The sequence below is a fragment of the Homo sapiens genome, chromosome 3, assembly GCF_000001405.40.
Source record: "Homo sapiens chromosome 3, GRCh38.p14 Primary Assembly".
Lineage (NCBI taxonomy): Eukaryota > Metazoa > Chordata > Mammalia > Primates > Hominidae > Homo > Homo sapiens.
Genome location: NC_000003.12, coordinates 104,435,037 through 104,453,995, shown reverse-complemented (window position 1 = coordinate 104,453,995; position 18,959 = coordinate 104,435,037). Strand labels below are relative to the sequence as shown.

Here is an 18,959-nt window from a genome sequence, read left to right as displayed (position 1 = left end):
GATTAAACTTAACTCTATCATGTTATTAGAAATCTTCTATTTCTCATCTATTTTGATTGATTTTTTAAAAAAACTTTTTTCTTTACTTTCTCTTTAAAATTATTTGACTTTTGTATTGTTTTGTATGAATCACTTAGCCTTTTAGGTATATCTTTTTTCATTTTATCTTATTATTTTGTTTCTGACGTCTTATATTGTGAGTCTCTATCATAGCCTATTTAGAAAATATTTTGTGTATTATGCAAGATATAACAAACATATAACTTTTTATTTCAATTCAACTCCCTTAAAGTCTGTGCTTTTGGCATTAATATAATAATACATTGTTATAATGTTTGCTTTATGTTGTCATCAGTCTTTCAACAGAATTAACAGAATCAATTTATCATCTTCTGTATTCACCTACATATTTACTATTTCAGTGTCACCAATGTCTTCTTGTAGATACTATTTTCAATATGTTGTCAATTTTGACAGAACAAAGAACATCCTTCAATGCTAATTGTAGAAGAATTTTTGGCAAAAGATTTTTTTTAAGTATAAAGTTCTGAGTTGACAGTTTCTATTTTTTCTCTTAGCCTTTTAAAGATGTAATTTCATTATGTTCTGGCCATCCTTGTTCCCAGTAGAAGTTCCTTGTAGTTTATATTATCATAATTTTCTGTCTAGTTATTTTCAAGATCCCCTCCATTTTTTTCATGTTCAGTAATTGACTATTTTAGTAATACAACTACTTGTGCCTCATTGTGAAATCTATGTATTTGGCAGTTTGAGATTCATTGAGTTTCTTGAATCTGTACCTTTTATTATTTTTCATGTTTCTTTCTTTAAGACACAGTCTCACTCTGTCCCTTAAGTTGGAGTGCAGTGATGCAATCTCGGCTCACTGCAGCCTCTGGTTCCTGGGTTCAAGCAATTCTCATTCCTCAGCCTCCCGAGTAGCTAGGACTACAGGAGTGGGCCACCATGCCGGGCTAATTTTTTTGTTTTATTTGTATTTTTATTTTTTGTATTTGTAGTAGAGATGGGGTTTCACCATGTTGGCCAGGCTGGTCTAGAACTCCTACCTCAAGTGATCTGCCTGCCAAAGTGCTGGAATTACAGGTATGAGTCACTGCACTGGGCCCCTTTTATCATGTTTCAACAAATTGTAATAAAAATATTTGGTCTTTCACTGTTTATTTTATTTGGTCTTTTTGTTTTGTCCAGTTTTTATGCTTCTCTTCTTGCAACTTTCGATGTTAAGTGTGTCAGATAGACTGTTAGATATTTTTCCGTAGCTCATTGAGATTTTGTTTATTTTTAAATTTTGAAAATATGTGTTCTTCAGATTGGATTAAAGTTTGGTGACCCTTTCACCTGCCTTATCCCACAGGATTATAATCCTTTTCAGTACATTTTTTATCTTTTTTATATTCCTGCCAATAGAATACAGAATTTTCTTTTCTCTTCATCCTTGCCAACAGTTATAGTGTATCTTTTTGATAATGCCTATTGTAACAGAAGTGAGGTGACACATCTCATTCTGGTTTTAATTCGCATTTCCCTAATAATTAGTGATGTGAATGAGTGGTTTCTCATATACTTATTGGCCATTTATATGTGTTCATAGATTACTGTAACATTGAGCTAGGCTCAAACAATCCTCCTGCCTTTGCTTCCCAAATAGCTAGGACTGTAGGTGTGCACCACCATGTCAGCTAATTTGTTTTTTGTTTTCATTTTTTTATAGAGACAGGAGTCTTAGTATGTTGCCCCAGGTGGTCTTGGACTCCTGGCCTCAAGTGATCCTCCTGCTTTGGCCTGCCAAAGCATTGGGACTACAGGCATGAGATGCTGCCATCCAGCTTTTGTCCATTTATAAATAATATTATTTATTTATTTTTTTGCTATTGAAATGTTTGAACTCCTTATAAATTTTGGCTATTACCTCTTCTTAGGTATATGTATTGCAAGTATTATTTCCCATTCCAAAAATTGTCTCTTCAGTCTGTTGATTGTTTCCTTTGCTGTTCAGGAGCTTTTTAGCTTGACGTAATTCCATTTGTCTATTTTGGGAATTTTTCTGCCTGTGTATTAGTGGTTACATGTAGAAAATATCATTGTCCAGACAAATGTCAAGAAGCTTTTTTCCACTTTTTTTTTCTGTTGTAATTTCACATCTCATGTGTAAGTATTTAATTCATTTTGGGTTCATTTTTGTATGTGGTGTGACATGAGAGTTCAATTTTATTCATTTGTATGTGGATATCTAGTTTTTCCTACAACATTTATTGAAGAAAATGTCATTTTTCCATTGTGTGTTCTTGGCACTTTTGTATAAAATCGATTGATTATAAATGCATGGACTGTCTTCTGTTCCATTGGACTACCTGTCTGTTGTAATGCCACTACCATAATGTCTTGAGTGCTTTCATTTTGTCGTATATTTTGAAATCAGGTAGTGTGAGGCCTCCAGCTTTGACTACTTGAGGTCTTTTATAGTTCCATATGAATTTCAGGATTGTTTTTGCTATTTTAGTAAAAAATGATATTGGAATTTTGAAAGAGATTGCATTGAATCTGTAGATTACTTTGGTCATTGACATTTTAACATTATTAATTCTTCTAATCCATGAAAACTGGATTTTTTTTCATGTATTTTTGTCTTCTTTAATTTCTTTCATCATTGTCTTTTAGTTGTCAGTGTATAGATCCTTCAACTCATTGGTTAAATTTATCCTAAGTATCTTATTCCATCTTTATAGCTATTGTAAATGGGATTGTTTTATTGATTTCTTCTTCAGATAATTCATCATTCGTGTATAGAAATGCAGCTGACTTTTGCATGTTGATTTTTTATCCTGCAATTTTACTAAATTATCATTTTTAACAAATGTCAGTGGTGTTTTTTAGGAGATATATATATATATATATATATATATATAAAATCTGTCATCTGCAAACAGAGACAATGTTCAGAGAGAGAAATACTGCCACCAGGACACACAATGATTCCATTAAGCTGGAAGTTAAGATTGCCACCTGGCCACTTTGGGCTCCTGCTGCCTCTAAGTCAACAGGCTAAGAAGGGAGTTACAGTGTTGGCTGGGGTGATTTACCCAGATTATCAAGATGAAATCAGTCTACCACTCCACAACAAAGGTAAGGAGGAGTACGTGTTGAATACAGGCGATCCCTTAGGGCATCTCTTAGTGTTACCATGCCCTGTGATTAAGGTCAATGGGAAACTACAACTCAATCCAGGCAAAACTACAAATGTCCCAGACCCTTCAGGAATGAAGGTTTGGGTCACTCCACCAGGTGAAAATCTTTGACTAGCCAAAGTGCTTGCTGAAGGCCAAAGGAATACAGAATGGGTAATAGAAGAAGGTAGTTATCAATGCCAGCTAGGACCATGTGATCTTCCAGAAATGAGGACTGTAATTATCATGAATATTTCCTCTTTATTTTGTTAAGAATATGTTTGTGCATGTATGCACTTGAACTAAGAAAATATCATCATTTTCTTTTCTTTTTCCTTTATTGTGTGACATAAGATTTATTGACTTCATGTAAGCACTTAAGTGTTGTTAACTTTGTGTAATAATAGGGTTTAGGTTAATAATTACTCAGCTTCCGGTTGTATGAAGGATAATTGTATTATGTTAGGTATAATTATGACCTTACTATTGTCTTCATTTGGAGATTAAGTATGATTTCAGGCGATGTGTATGGGTTCAAGTTGACTAGGGGTGGACTTGTGATGGTTAATAGTAGATTTCAGCTTGATTGGATTGAAGGATGTCTAGATAGCTGGTAAAGTATTGTTTCTGGGTGTGACTGAAGGTGTTTCCAAATGAGGTTAATATTTGAATCAGTGGACTGGGAGAGGAAGACCCATCCTCAATGTGAATGGACACCATCCAATCTGCTGTCAGCATGGCTAGAACAAAGCAGGTGGAAGAATTTGGGATAAACTGGCTTGTTGAGTCTTCTGGCTTTCATTTGTCTTCTGTGCTGGATACTTCCATCCATTCATCCTGCCCTTGGACATCAGAATCCAGATTCTTCATCCTTTGGACTCTTGGACTTACATCAGTGTTTTGCTGGGGGCTTTTTGGACTTTGGCCACAGACCTCAGGCTGTGCTGTCAGCTTCTCTGCTTTTGAGGCTTTTGGACTCAGACTGCGCCACTACTAGCTTCTTCCTTTCTCAGCTTGCAGGTGACCTATGATGGGACTTCACCTTGTGATCCTGTGAGCCAATTCTCCTTAATGAACTCCCTTTGATGTACACATATATCCTATTAGTTCTGTCCCTCTGCAGAACCCTAATATAGCTGGTTTAGAGCCTGGGTCCCTGAGGGCCAGCCTAGAGCTGGAGCAGGTTTGGAGGCTGGGTCTCTGGGGTCCATTCTGGCACTTAGTTGGGATTGGAGCATAGGACCACAAAGGCCAGACTAGAGTGAGCCTTGAGCTGGCCTGGCACGAGGGAAGACCTGGAGCCTGCGTACCCAGGGGCCACTCTGGAGACTAGGTCTGTTGGGGCTGGTCTAAGGCTATGGCTGACCTGAAGCCTGAATCTTCAGAGAATGGCCTGGATCATGGTGTTATGGGAACTGGCCTGGGGCAGTGGTGGCTATGAGTGGAAGAATGGGTATTCCAGTTATAAAGGTCCATGCTGTGAAAACATTAGGCAGGACATGGCACTGATAGGATAAATATTATTTGGCAGTCCTTTATTAATTTTAGATGAGTTAGGTAAGCTTATTAATATCTCTATGTATCAGTATACTTATTAATAAAATACAAATAATTTATCTTTTAAGATCACTTTGCAGAATTATTAATAAGCATACACTTAGCATAGTTCAATTTGTAATAATTCCCATTTTGCAGACCTAAGAAACTGTCCATTCTCTCCCATTGTTCTTTTACAATATACTAAATTTTATGCTAAGTAACAATTTACCCCACAGTTAGTATCTTAAAATAACACACATCTTTATCTCACAGTTTGGCTGAACTAGGAGTCTAGGGATAGCTTAACTGGGTCCTCTGCAAGACTGGAATCAAGATACTGGCCAGGGCTTACTCTCACCAGGAGGTTTGACTGGCAATGGGTCTACTTCCAAGCTCACTAAGATTGATGACTGAGTTCATTTTCTTATGGTAGTATTACTGAAGTCCCTGGTTTCTTGCTGGCTACCAGGCATAGGTCATCTTAGTTTCTAGAGACCATACACATTTACTTGCCATGTGAACCTCTCTATAGGCCCTCTTACAACATGGCCTCTTCAGAACCAGAAGGGGATTCAGTAAGTCTTCCAAGATGAAATCTTCTATAATGTAATGTGCTTAAAAGATCCACATTTTATCATCTCTGTAGTATTTTATTGATTAGAAGCATTTCACAGATTTCACTCACACTAAAGGTGAGGGTACTGTACAAGCATGTAAACATGAAGAGGAGAATATTATGCAGGCCCCCTTAAAACCCGTTCACCACAAATCATGATAATAACCCCAGATCCCCAAAATAAACTATGAATTACTCTCATCTTTATGTTACTCTCATCTTTATATTTCTCCCCTCTTTAAAAAGAAAATCTAAACCAGTAACTGCACAATCCTCAAATAATTGGTGCTTTTGCCAAAGATAATATCTCCCAGGTTACTCCGCAGTACGTTTGGCGAACATCCTTTAATGAGAAAATACAATCTTTGACAATCTGTCAGCTTTCCCATTGCCACTACCCTTCTTCAACTGATGGCAAATAGTTTTAATCAAAAGCATTATAAAGTACAGTCTTTGGCTCTTTAAACAAAATCCCTCTCCCTCATCTAATATTCTGAGGTTTTATTTTACTTCAAATTTAACCAAAGATATCAATCACTGATTTTTCACAGTGTGGTCTTTTGCATTGTTCTATTGGTTCAGGAGTTTTCTCTCTCCCATAATTATCCTTCTATTTATAACACATGTATCACAATGCCAGGCTGTTATCTTCTTCAAATCTCTTTTAGCCTATCCTACACAAAGTAAGAGCCTTGGGGTTTAGCGATTAGTTTGTCTAGCGACAAATTCCTATTTTCTACATTGCTCTCTTGCCCAGTCACAGCTGAGAATCATTGTCTGTACCTCATTTAATGTAAGCTTTATCAGGTTCTGTTTCCTCCCAGTCTTACTCAGAAGAAAGCAAGCTGCCTTTCTACAAAGAATCTCCCTAGTTCTTCGAGGAGATTTATTTACTTTTTATCTTTTTTCATTTTCTTACTAGTGGCGTTAGATAACATTATGTAAAATAAGCATATCAAAGTCGGGGAAACAAGAAGAAACCTGCAACAACCAGCAAGGTTTATGTAAAATCCACTTTAATTAATATGTGGACATGGAATCTGAATATGACTTTGGGAAAGGGGCAAAAGTCTGTGGAAGTTAAGGTCACATATAATCATGGTTGCTATTTCATAAAATATTGCCCAAGAATTTATTTGTGGTACTACCAATTAAGCTCCTGTTTTCAAGATAGTTTTCAGTCATAAATACTTAAAAAGAATCAATTAACATATTGTCACCAAAGACAAAGAAAACAGGATAATAAAATGGAAAAAAAAAATGCCATAGACAAAGTTAGAAGATAGGTTTAACCCTTGATTTGGAGCTAGCTGGGCATCATTTTTGTCATCTATAAAATAACTGGAAGAATTATTTGATCTTTAAGATATGTTTTAAGTTCTATTGTATTTTGAACCGATTTCTTTAAATAAGACCTTTTAAGGAAAAGAAATATACTCAGAGATTAGGAAAAGAGGCTGCAAAGAAGCAATTGTATTCTTACATTTTTTTGAAGTCATGTATATTTCATTTAACAATGTTCAGCCCTTAAGCTCCTAAAATATATAACCTGTAGAGTAATTTGAAACTTTGAAATTGTATAAGACCCTGCATTAATTTTTAACCAGTAGTGATATAATCATAAAATCATTTTAATACAAACTGTATCCTACTTACTTCTATTTACTTAGGACTAAGTTGTTCAAATTATTTTCCTTTGCAGTGGTCAGTGTGTAGTTTTACTCATGAGGCTAACTTCAGGACTATATTAATAATTTATCATAAATTGAGCAACTTTTAGACTCTTGATATGGTTTGGCTGTGTTCCTACCCAAATTTCATCTTGAACTGTAGTTTCCATAATTCTCATGTGTCATGAGAGGGACCTGGTGGGAGTTAATTTAATCATGGGAGTGTTTACCCTCATGCTGTTCTCATGATAGTGAGTGAGTTCTCATGAGCTACGATGGTTTTCCCCCTTTTGCTCCACACTTCTCCTTACTGCTACCATGTGAAGAAGGACATGTTTGCTTTCTCTTCCCCTGTGATTGTAAGTTTCCTGAGGCCTCTCCAGCCATGTTGAGCTGTGAGTCAATTACACCTCTTTCCTTTATAAATTATTCAGTCTTGGGTATGTCTTTATTATGAATAGCAGCGTGAGAATGGGCTAATACAATTCTTTTCATAGTAGTACGATATCAGTTGGTCAATGTTTACTGACAATTGTAGGATATAAGACAGTATATGTGGAGATGCTAGGTAGAGTGAATATAGCAAGAAAAATTGGGCTAAGGAGTAGAAATGCAAATGAAACTTGGTGTTAACAAAATGTAAATTGCAATCCCTTTCAATGGGTCTCCTACATGAGGAATACTGAAGAATATTCAAGATAAGATTGTTTTAAATGTTAGATGTTATATAAGGAATTCTCTAACATGAGCTAATCCTGTACAATAGTGAAAATGTGGGAGAAACAGGCCCACAACGAAAGTACATCAGGTCTAAGATAGTGCTTAGGCACAGGTGAAATACTTTCTTCAGGCTTAGTGAATGAAATGACACTAGAAAAACAAAATTTGCCTGCAGAATTTTAATAGAAAAAGGGAGCACGTAAATTGACATTTTGTATATGTTCCATCCAGGAACAAGCTATGTAAAAATGTAACTTATGACATTACATTTATACATTTATTTAATTAATTATTTAGGCTAAAATTTTCTTAAAATTTATCCCTAAAATTATGAAATTGATTTTTTTTGCAAAATATAGCAAAAATATTTTGTTGTAATGTAATAGAATATAACAACTACTTACATAGAATTTATATTACATTATGTATTTTAAGTAATTTAGGGTTGATTTAAATTGTGCAGGGGAAATTGTGTAGGTTATATGTACATTGTCAGGCCTCTGAGCCCAAGCCAAGCCATCGCATCACCTGTGACTTGCATGTATAAGCCCAGATGGCCTGAAGTAACTGAAGAATCACAAAAGAAGTGAAAAGGCCCTGCCCCGCCTTAACTGATGACATTCCACCATTGTGATTTGTTCCTGCCCCACCTTAACTGAGTGATTAACCCTGTGAATTTCCTTCTCCTGACTCAGAAGCTCCCCCACTGAGCACCTTGTGACCCCCACCCCTGCCCACCAGAAAACAATCCCCTTTGACTGTAATTTTCCATTACCTTCCCAAATCCTATAAAACGGCCCCACCCCTATCTCCCCTTCCCTGACTCTCTTTTCGGACTCAGCCCGCCTGCTCCCAGGTGAAATAAACAGCCATGTTGCTCACACAAAGCCTGTTTGGTGGTCTTTTCACACGGATACATATGAAATTTGGTGCCGTGACTCAGATCGGGGGACCTCCCTTGGGAGATCAATCCCCTGTCCTCCTGCTCTTTGCTCCGTGAAAAAGACCCACCTATGACCTCGGGTCCTCAGACCCACCAGCGTAAGGAACATCTCACCAATTTTAAATTGGGTAAGCGGCCTCTTCTTACTCTCTTCTCCAACCTCTCTCACTGTCCCTCAACCACTTTCTCCTTTCCACTCTTCAATCTCTCCCTTCTCTTAATTTCAATTCCTTTCATTTTCTGGGAGAGACAAAGGAGACACATTTTATCTGTGGACCCAAAACTCCGGCGCCGGTCACGGACTGGGAAGGCAGCCTTCCCTTGGTGTTTAATCATTGCAGGGATGCCTCTCTGATTATACACCCGCGTTTCAAGGGTGTCAGACCATGCAGGGACGCCTGCCTTGGTCCTTCACCCTTAGCGGCAAGTCCCGCTTTTCTGGGGAAGGGGCAAGTACCTCAACCCCTTCTCTTTGTCTCTCCTCCTTCTCTGCTTTTCTGGGAGAGGGGCAAGTACCCCTCAACCCCTTCTCCTTCACCCTTAGCGGCAAGTCCCGCTTTTCTATGGGGCAAGAACCCCCAATCCCTTGTTTCTGCACCCCAACCTCTTATCTCTGTGCCCCAATCACTTATTTCCACACCCCAACCTCTTATCTCTGTGCCCCAATCCGTTATTTCCGCAACCCGACCTCTTATCTCTGTGTCCCAATCTCTTATTTCCATGCCCCAACCTCGTATCTCTGCACCCCAATCCCTTATTTCCGCTCCCCAACCTCTTATATCTCTGTGCCCCAATCCCTTATTTCCACACCCCGACCTCTTATCTCTGTGCCCCAACCCCTTTTCCCACTTTTCTGGAAGGTAAGAACCCCCGAACCCCTTCTCTCCATTTCTCTACTCTCTCTTTTCTCTAGGCTTGCTTCTTTCACTATGAGCAAACTTCCACCCTCCATTCCTCCTTCTACTCCCTTGGCCTGTGTTCTCAAAAATTTAAAACCTCTTCAACTCACACCTGACCTAAAACCTAAATGCCTGATTTTCTTCTGCAATGCCGCTTGACCCCAATACAAACTTGACAGTAGTTCCAAATAGCCAGAAAATGACACTTTGAATTTTTCCATCCTGCAAAATCTAAATAATTCTTGTCATAAAATAGGCAAACAGTCTGAGGTGCCTGACGTCCAGATTCTTTTACACATCAGTCCCTTCCTAGTCTCTGTGCCCAGTGCGACTCGTCCCAAATCTTCCTTCTTTCCCTCCTGCCTGTCCCCTCAGTACCAACGCCAAGCGTCACTGAGTCTTTCTAATCTTCCTTTTCTACAGACCCATCTGACCTCTCCCTTCCTCCCCAGGCTGCTCCTCGCCAGGCGAAGCTAGGTCCCAATTCTTCCTCAGCCTCTGCTCCTCCACCCTATAATCTTTTTATCACCTCCCCTCCTCACACCTGGTCCGACTTACAGTTTCGTTCCGTGACTAGCCCTCCTCCACCTGCCCAGCAATTTCCTCTTAAAAAGGTGGCTGGAGCCAAAGGCTTAGTCAAGGTTAATGCTCCTTTTTCTTTATCCCAAATCAGAAGCGTTTAGGCTCTTTTTCATCAAATATAAAAATCCAGCCCAGTTCATGGCTCGTTTGGCAGCAACCCTGAGACGCTTTACAGCCCTAGACCCTAAAATGTCAAAAGGCCGTCTTATTCTCAATATACATTTTATTACCCAATCTGCTCCTGACATTAAATAAAACTCCAAAAATTGGAATCTGGCCCTCAAACCCCACAACAGGACTTAATTAACCTCACCTTCAAGGTGTACAATAACAGAAAAAAGTTGCAATTCCTGGCCTCCACTGTGAGACAAACCCCAGCCAAATCTCCAGCACACAAGAACTTCCAAACGCCTGATCCGCAGCAGCCAGGCGTTCCTCCAGAACCTCCTCCCCCAAGAGCTTGCTACACGTGCCGGAAAGCTGGCCACTGAGCCAAGGAATGCCCGCAGCCCAGGATTCCTCCTAAGCCGCGTCCCATCTGTGTGGGACCCCACTGAAAATTGGACTGTTCAACTCACCTGGCAGCCACTCCCAGAGCCCCTGGAACAATGGCCCAAGGCCCTCTGACTGACTCCTTCCCAGATCTTCTCGGCTTAGCAGCTGAAGACTGACACTGCCCGATCGCCTCGTGAGCCCCCTAGACCATCACGGACGCCGAGCTTCGGGTAACTCTCACAGTGGAAGGTAAGCCTGTCCTCTTCTTAATCAATACGGAGGCTACCCACTCCACATTACCTTCTTTTCAAGGGCCTGTTTCCCTTGCCTCCATAACTGTTATGTGTATTGATGGCCAGGCTTCTAAACCTCTTAAAACTCCCCAACTCTGGTGCCAACTTAGACAATACTCTTTTAAGCAATCCTTTTTAGTTATCCCCACCTGCCCAGTTCCCTTATTAGGCTGAGACACTTTAACTAAATTATCTGCTTCCCTGACTATTCCTGGACTACAGCTATATCTCATTGCCACCCTTCTTCCCAGTCCAAAGCCTCCTTTGCGTCCTCCTCTTGTATCCCCCCACCTTAACCCACAAGTATAAGATACCTCTACTCCCTCCTTGGTGACCGATCATGCACCCCTTACCATCTCATTAAAACCTAATCACCCTTACCCCACTCAACGCCAATATCCCATCCCGCAGCATGCTTTAAAAAGATTAAAGCCTGTTATCATTTGCCTGCTACAGCATGGCCTTTTAAAACCTATAAACTCTCCTTACAATTCCCCCATTTTACCTGTCCTAAAACCAGAGAAGCCTTACAAGTTAGTTCAGGATCTGCGCCTTATCAACCAAATTGTTTTGCCTAGCCACCCCATGGTGCCAAACCCATATACTCTCCTATCCTCAATACCTCCCTCTACTACCCATTATTCTGTTCTGGATCTCAAACATGCTTTCTTTACTATTCCTCTGCACCCTTCATCCCAGCCTCTCTTTGCCTTTACTTAGACTGACCCTGACACCCATTAGGCTCAGCAAATTACCTGGGCTGTACTGCCGCAAGGCTTCACAGACAGCCCCTATTACTTCAGTCAAGCCCAAATTTCATCCTCATCCGTTACCTATCTCAGCATAATTCTCATAAAAACACATGTGCTCTCCCTGCTGATCGTGTCCGATTAATCTCCCAAACCTCAATCCCTTATAAAAGAACAACTCCTTTCCTTCCTAGGCATGGTTAGTGTGGTCAGAATTCTTACACAAGAGCCAGGAGCACACCATGTAGCCTTTCTGTCCAAACAACTTGACCTTACTGTTTTAGCCTAGCCCTCATGTCTGCGTGCAGCAGCTGCTGCTGCTTTAATACTGTTAGAGGCCCTAAAAATCACAAACTATGCTCAACTCACTCTCTACATTTCTCATAACTTCCAAAATCTATTTTCTTCCTCATACCTGACACATACTTTCTGCTCCCCGGCTCCTTCAGCTGTACTCATGCTTTAAGTCCCACAATTACCATTGTTCCTGGCCTGGACTTCAATCTGGCCTCTCACATTATTCCTGATACCACACCTGATGCCCATGACTGTATCTCTCTGATCCACCTGATATTCACCCCATTTCCCCATATTTCCTTCTTTCCTGTTCCTCAACCCTGATCACGCTTGATTTATTGATGGCAGTTCCACCAGGCCTAATCGCCACACACCAGCAAAGGCAGGCTATGCTATAGTACAAGCCACTAGCCCGCCTCTCAGAACCTCTCATTTCCTTTCCATCGTGGAAATCTATCCTCAAGGAAATAACTTCTCAGTGTTCCATCTGCTATTCTACTACTCCTCAGGGATTATTCAGGCCCCCTCCCTTCCCTACACATCAAGCTCGAGGATTTGCCCCACCCAGGACTGGCAAATTAGCTTTACTCAACATGCCCCGAGTCAGGAAACTAAAATACCTCTTAGTCTAAATAGACACTTTCACTGAATAAGTAAAGGCCTTTCCTACAGGGTCTAAGAAGGCCACCACAGTCATTTCTTCCCTCCTGTCAAACATAATTCCTCAGTTTAGCCTTCCCACCTCTATACAGTCTGATAACAGACCGCCTTTATTAGTCAAGCAGTTTTTCAGGCTCTTAGTATTCAGTGAAACCTTTATATCCCTTACGGTCCTCCGTCTTCAAGAAAAGTAGAACGGACTAAAGGTCTTTTAAAAACACACCTCACCAAGCTCAGCCACCAACTTAAAAAGGACTGGACAATACTTTTACCACTTTCGCTTCTCAGAATTCAGGCCTGTCCTCAGAATGCTACAAGGTACAGCCCATTTAAGCTCCTGTATAGATGCTCCTTTTTATTAGGCCCCAGTCTCATTTGACACCAGACCAACTTAGACTGTGCCCCAAAAAAACTTGTCATCCCTACTATCTTTTGTCTAGTCATACTCTTATTCACCATTCTCAACTACTCATACATGCCCTGCTCTTGTTTACACTGCAGGTTTACACTGTTTCTCCAAGCCATCACAGCTGCTGATATCTCCTGGTGCTATCCCCAAACTGCCACTCTAAACTCTTGAAGTAAATAAATAATCTTTGCTGGCAGGACTATGCTGAATCTCCTTAGGCACTCTCTAATCAGATGCCCTAGGTCCTCCCAATTCTTAGACCTTTTATACCTGTTTTTCTCCTTCTCTTATTCCATTTAGTTTTTCAATTCATACAAAACCGTATCCAGGCCATCATCAATCATTCTATACAACACATGTTTCTTCTAACAACCCCACAATATCACCCCTTACCACAAAATCTTCCTTCAGCTTAATCTCTCCCACTCTAGGTTCCCACGCCGCCCCTAATCCCACTCGAAGCAGCCCTGAGAAACATTGCCCATTCTCTCTCCATACCACCCCCCAAAATTTTCACTGCCCCAACACTTCAACACTATTTTGTTTTATTTTTCTTATTAATATAAGAAGTCAGGAATGTCAGGCCTCTGAGCCCAAGCCAAGCCATCACATCACCTGTGACTTGCATGTATAAGCCCAGATGGCCTGAAGTAACTGAAGAATCACAAAAGAAGTGAAAAGGCCCTGCCCCGCCTTAACTGATGACATTCCACCATTGTGATTTGTTCCTGCCCCACCTTAACTGAGTGATTAACCCTGTGAATTTCCTTCTCCTGACTCAGAAGCTCCCCCACTGAGCACCTTGTGACCCCCACCCCTGCCCACCAGAAAACAACCCCCTTTGACTGTAATTTTCCATTACCTTCCCAAATCCTATAAAACGGCCCCACCCCTATCTCCCTTTGCTGACTCTCTTTTCAGACTCAGCCCGCCTGCACCCAGGTGAAATAAACAGCCATGTTGCTCACACAAAGCCTGTTTGGTGGTCTCTTCACACAGACACGCATGAAATACATACTATGCCATTTTATATGAGGGACTTGAGCATCCTAGGATTTTGTTATCTGAGGGAGTCTTGGAACCAATCCCTTATAAATACAAAGGAACAACTGTATTTACATATTTTGTTTAAATAAAATTATATTTCAGTAGGGAGGGCATGTTTTTATATCACTGTTTTGCAGATTTGAGAATTGTGGTTCAGATAAGGTGACTAACCTGCTGAAGATATTTAGCTAGAGAGTGTCTGACAGTTGAGTTAAAAACTCAGGGGTTGTGGGGAGAGGAAGACATGAGGATAAATAGCTAACGCATGGGGGCTTACCTAGGGGATGGGTTGATAAGTGCAGCAACCACCATGGCACACATTTACCTATGTAACAAATCTGCATGTCTTGCACATGTATCCTGGAACATAAAATAAAATAAAATAAAATAAAATAAAATAAAATAAATAAATAAAAAACTCAGATCATCTGAAATTTTTAGAACAGACCTCTCATGATATGTTTGAAAATTAGTCACTTTCATCAGGTCATCGACCAAAGATTCTGAAACAAAGTTCAGTTATTTAGGCTGTTTTTTATTTCAACACTTGATTTAGTGCCTTGTATTAAAAGTAATGGCAAAAACCACAATTACTTTTGCACCAACCTAATACTTCTGGTTTACACAGTTGCTGGGAAAACCCCCTGCCACAACCAAGAACTGCCCCCAATAAGTAGAAGGAAAGCTCAGACCAAACAAAGAGGCAGACTTCTCCAGGTTGGTAGGTGGTCAAAGATTTATTCAGTAAAAACTTGCATAGAAAGATAAAGGGGCGGTCTTGGGCAGCAGCAAGATGTGGTAGATCTTCCAGCTTGTGTTGCAAGCCTCTCTAGTCTTTTCTACCATGAGAAGAAAAGGGAAAGAGAAAGGAGGAAAAAAAGTCACTTATGGCATGTTAGGCTATCTGGCTGTTTTCTTAATCTATTTACTCTCTGCTTAAAGGGATTGTTTGTGTTCTCTACAATCTGGTCAACATTCTTTAGGGGAGGAGGGGATGTTTTAAGCAGCATCAGTTTTCTGGGTCCTCTGTTGGCTGAATCCCATAACTCCCTTGCTGTCACACACCCAGTATACATTTTCACAAAATTAGTGCAAAATATTTCTGCCAAACTTTTAAAACTCATTTCCGGAAACTCAATCTCTGTAATGTCTTTAGATAACATTGAGCAGTGTGCCAGAGATATTCTCCAGAGCCACTGAAATGGATGAGGAAGAAGCTGTACCCTTTCACTTCAAGCATTTAAAAGAATTTGCATTTTCAAATTTTTTCCCTCCACACTTCCTATAGCTGTTCACTAAGAAGATGGAAGCTAATAGTAATTCCACCTTGGTTTCTTTACACTTGAAAAATCTAATCATATCTTCTCCTTCTGCATCATTTTGAAAAGTTTTGTGTGAGTCTTGTTTAATTAAGGCGAGACCTCACAAAATTCTATTATTTCATATAATTTTATCTTCTATATTTTTTTTATGTTTGATATTCTCAGGGTTTGTTTTTGATGTGGTGATAATATTAGAATCCAATTTTGATTTTTTAGTATTTTACTCTGCTAAACCTCACAAAGTATGCTTGTTTGTTTTATATATTTTTTTAGAAAGGTGCTTGCTCACAAAGATCTACTCTCAATGAAGAGGATTTTACTTTTATTATGCTAAAGTAGGGTTTCTGGATCTCAGCAATATTTACATGTTTAACTGGATAATTCTTTGTTCAGTTAGCAGAATCTCTTCTATTCACTAGATATTTGTGGCATACCTCCAACCTCCAGCTGTGACAACCAAAAATGCCTCCAGCCATTGCCAAATTCCATTTGCATAATGCAGGGTTTCTCATCAAGGCAGTTTTGTCCTGCAGGGAACATTTCTACAATGAGGGGAGAGCCTGCTACTAGTATGCACAGGAGAATCCCTATAGTGAAGAGTTATCTTGACTAAAATGTCAACAACGTTAAAGTTGAAATCCCAGTTGGTAAATCTGTTACAGCTCTTTATTTGAAGTTAAAATAGAAGATTGACTTCTCTAGGATAAAAGCTTTCAGGAAAATCTCACTGTAGTTTAGGTGTATGGTAGAAAGTAAAACAAGTTATATTGCCCTATGATTTCAAAATCCTGTCTCTCAGCTTTCTATGTTCATGTCTATCTGTCAAATTCTTACTTGCTTCTACACTTAGCAATATTACAACTGTAATAGAATCAGGAATATTCTCTCTCACTGTAAACACCAGTTTTCACCCAAAATAAGCACTAACTGTACTTCACAGAAAGATACAGCAGTTTCCTGGGCAGTCACAGCCTTTGCAAGGCTGAATCCTCTCACTCACCTATGGAACCTTCTGGTTATATGCTGCCTTTGATGCAAATTTAACTATCCCTGTCTGTTCAGTATTCCAGAAAGTAAATGGACTCCGGACTCCTTAAGGCTGGCACTGGACAATTTTTTATCAGTGCATCCTTCTTTTTCCTTTTTTTCCCACATAGGAGGCAATGGATCTTAGAAAGGGGCTGAAAATCCTATTACATTCTGGAAGAGCAGCTGTCTCTTCACCACCCGCCTATTGCTTCATGCTTGTACTCTGATCTGCTATAGTTGCTGCCTTCTGAGAATTTATGAGCTATGAAGTCATCACGGACTTCTTAGCCAGCTCTCAACTTGTGGCTTTGCATCAAATAGTCCTTCTAATCCTGACAAGTGAAGGGAATATTTTTTTCCCCATGAGAATTCATAACTTTCTCTCGAGCTCTTCCTTTTTAAAAAATAACTTTTTCTATGCTGGCCAGAGAGCCACTACCAATTTTCATTAAGTTCCTTTTCCTTAGGCATATTTATAATGTTTCTTCTGCCCACCTTGCCTTCCAGTTTCACCTCCGTGTGTTGTATATCCTACTATTACATTATGATCTAACTATTTTTTAAGAGTAGCTCTTTCACCTCCCATTTAAATTCTTCTGACAAAGCAATCTATTAAGCCAATAGAATAAGGATTTTTTTTCTAAAAATTCTGTTATCGAAGACTTACTGAATGAATATCTGTCATTACCTCACCCTTTTTTTTCTTTTTCTTTTTGTTAGTTGAGTTTCTCAGTTACATAACCACCTCATAGCCTATATTAATGCACTTCCATCAAATTCTGTGGTTTAGGTTAAATATTTCTTGTATTTGTAATTAAGTTCATACATAAATAAGCTTCCAGATTTAGTTTCTTGTGCTGTAAAGCCTCATATGATTCTGGATTTAGCCATCTGGGTTTATACTCTTTGACACTACTTATCTGTACCCTGGTATATGTCAGGGAATTAAATCTGCTCCAAAATTTAGGTTACATGTAACTTGGTAAGTTGGGCCCAATTACAGGCTTTTACCTTAGAGAGTAAAACAAAGTAACACAAGCAGAGTCTCTGCAAAATTTCTAGCAGTCTTTTGCAATACTTAGACTTTTCTATTATAACAAGAATAATTTAAAATTATTTAAAAGTGCTGGTAAGCTACTTGATTCAAAAGATAGGATAGAACATGTGACTAGAGTAGTGATTCTTAGATATTTTTTGGCACAGGTCTTTGAAAATGTGGTAACACAAATTTTCTCTTTAGAATAAAAGAACTTCAAATTTCAAAGAGTTTGTTGACAGTGAAACTTTCCATGTTGATCTTAGTTGTCCATGCATAGAAAGTTAAGAATCTCTGTACTGACTTTAAATATCAGGAATCAGGTAGGGGTTTTCTATGCAGTCTCTGTCTTATAAACTATTTGTCCAGAAATATTTCATTATTCTCTTAAAATGCCACCAACCAAGCAAATATAATGGTAGCAATCTCCATGATTCAATCATAAAAAAAATTAACAAGCAAAAATGTACTCTAAGTTTTTCATTGCAATTTCTATGAATATGCTTCAATCTAAAGATATTATAACTAGGAACTAGGCACGAATATGGAAAACAGATAAATTTTCAAATACACTGAAAGCATAACTTTGATATTAGAATTCAAAATATACATTAACATGCAAAGAAGTGATCATAGAATAAATAGCAAAACTAAATTCAATGGACTAGATACTTGGTACTATCCACTCAGAACTAAAGGACATTGATAGAGAATTTTTTTTTTTACTTCAGCTTAGGTAAGTTGTTATATATACATATACATATACATATATATACACATTTATACATATATATATATATAGAGAGAGAGAGAGAGAAATAATGAGAGCAAGGGCAAGCAGAGAGAAAAAGAGAATGCTGTGGTTTGAATGGGTCCCCTCCAAAATTCATGTTGAAATTTAATCCCCATTGTAGTGGCATTAAGAGGTGGGGCCAGGAGATGATCAAGTCATGAAAGTAATGTCCTTCCGAATAGATTAGTGTCTTATAGGAGGCCTGGATACATTAGCTTAGGCCCTTTTGCATTTCTGCCTTTCGATGAAACACTAAGGCACAATCCTGGAAGCAAGGACTAATTTCTCACCAGATACTAAACGTGCCAGGGCCTTCATCTTGAACTTCTCAGCCTCCAGAACTGTGAGAAATAAATTTCTATTGTTTATAAGTTGCTCACTCTCAGGTATTTTGCCATAGCTGCACAAACAGACTGATACAGAGAGAGAGAAAAAAAGAGAAAGAAAAAGAGAGAGAGATACATCTGTCACATTTGCTTAAAATTTCAAAGCTCTAACACTAATTCTTCCCCATTAATTCTTTGTGATTCTATTCGTATTGGCTTATTTTTTAAATGTCACTAAATAAGTCGAGATAATACAGATTTCATTTTCTACTGCCGATAACCTTCCGTTAAGTGATTGTTCATTGACCAACAAGAAGCAGCAGCGTTGCTGAAAGTCACATATTATCCA

General features: G+C 39.0%; 1 long non-coding RNA gene across 1 annotated transcript in view, besides 1 other annotated feature; it reads left to right on the top strand.

Moving 5' to 3' along the window:
• Positions 1-18,959, top strand: part of LOC105374020 (uncharacterized) — a 122,436-nt gene that overhangs the window by 2,679 nt on the left and 100,798 nt on the right. The window lies entirely within an intron of this gene.
• Positions 8,054-8,880: an enhancer, noted in NCBI's record as "NANOG-H3K27ac hESC enhancer chr3:104163960-104164786 (GRCh37/hg19 assembly coordinates)". NCBI's record gives its function as "activates a minimal SCP1, AML or CMV promoter by ChIP-STARR-seq in naive H9 embryonic stem cells {active_cell/tissue: H9 hESC(naive)}" and the evidence as "EXISTENCE:reporter gene assay evidence [ECO:0000049][PMID:30033119]".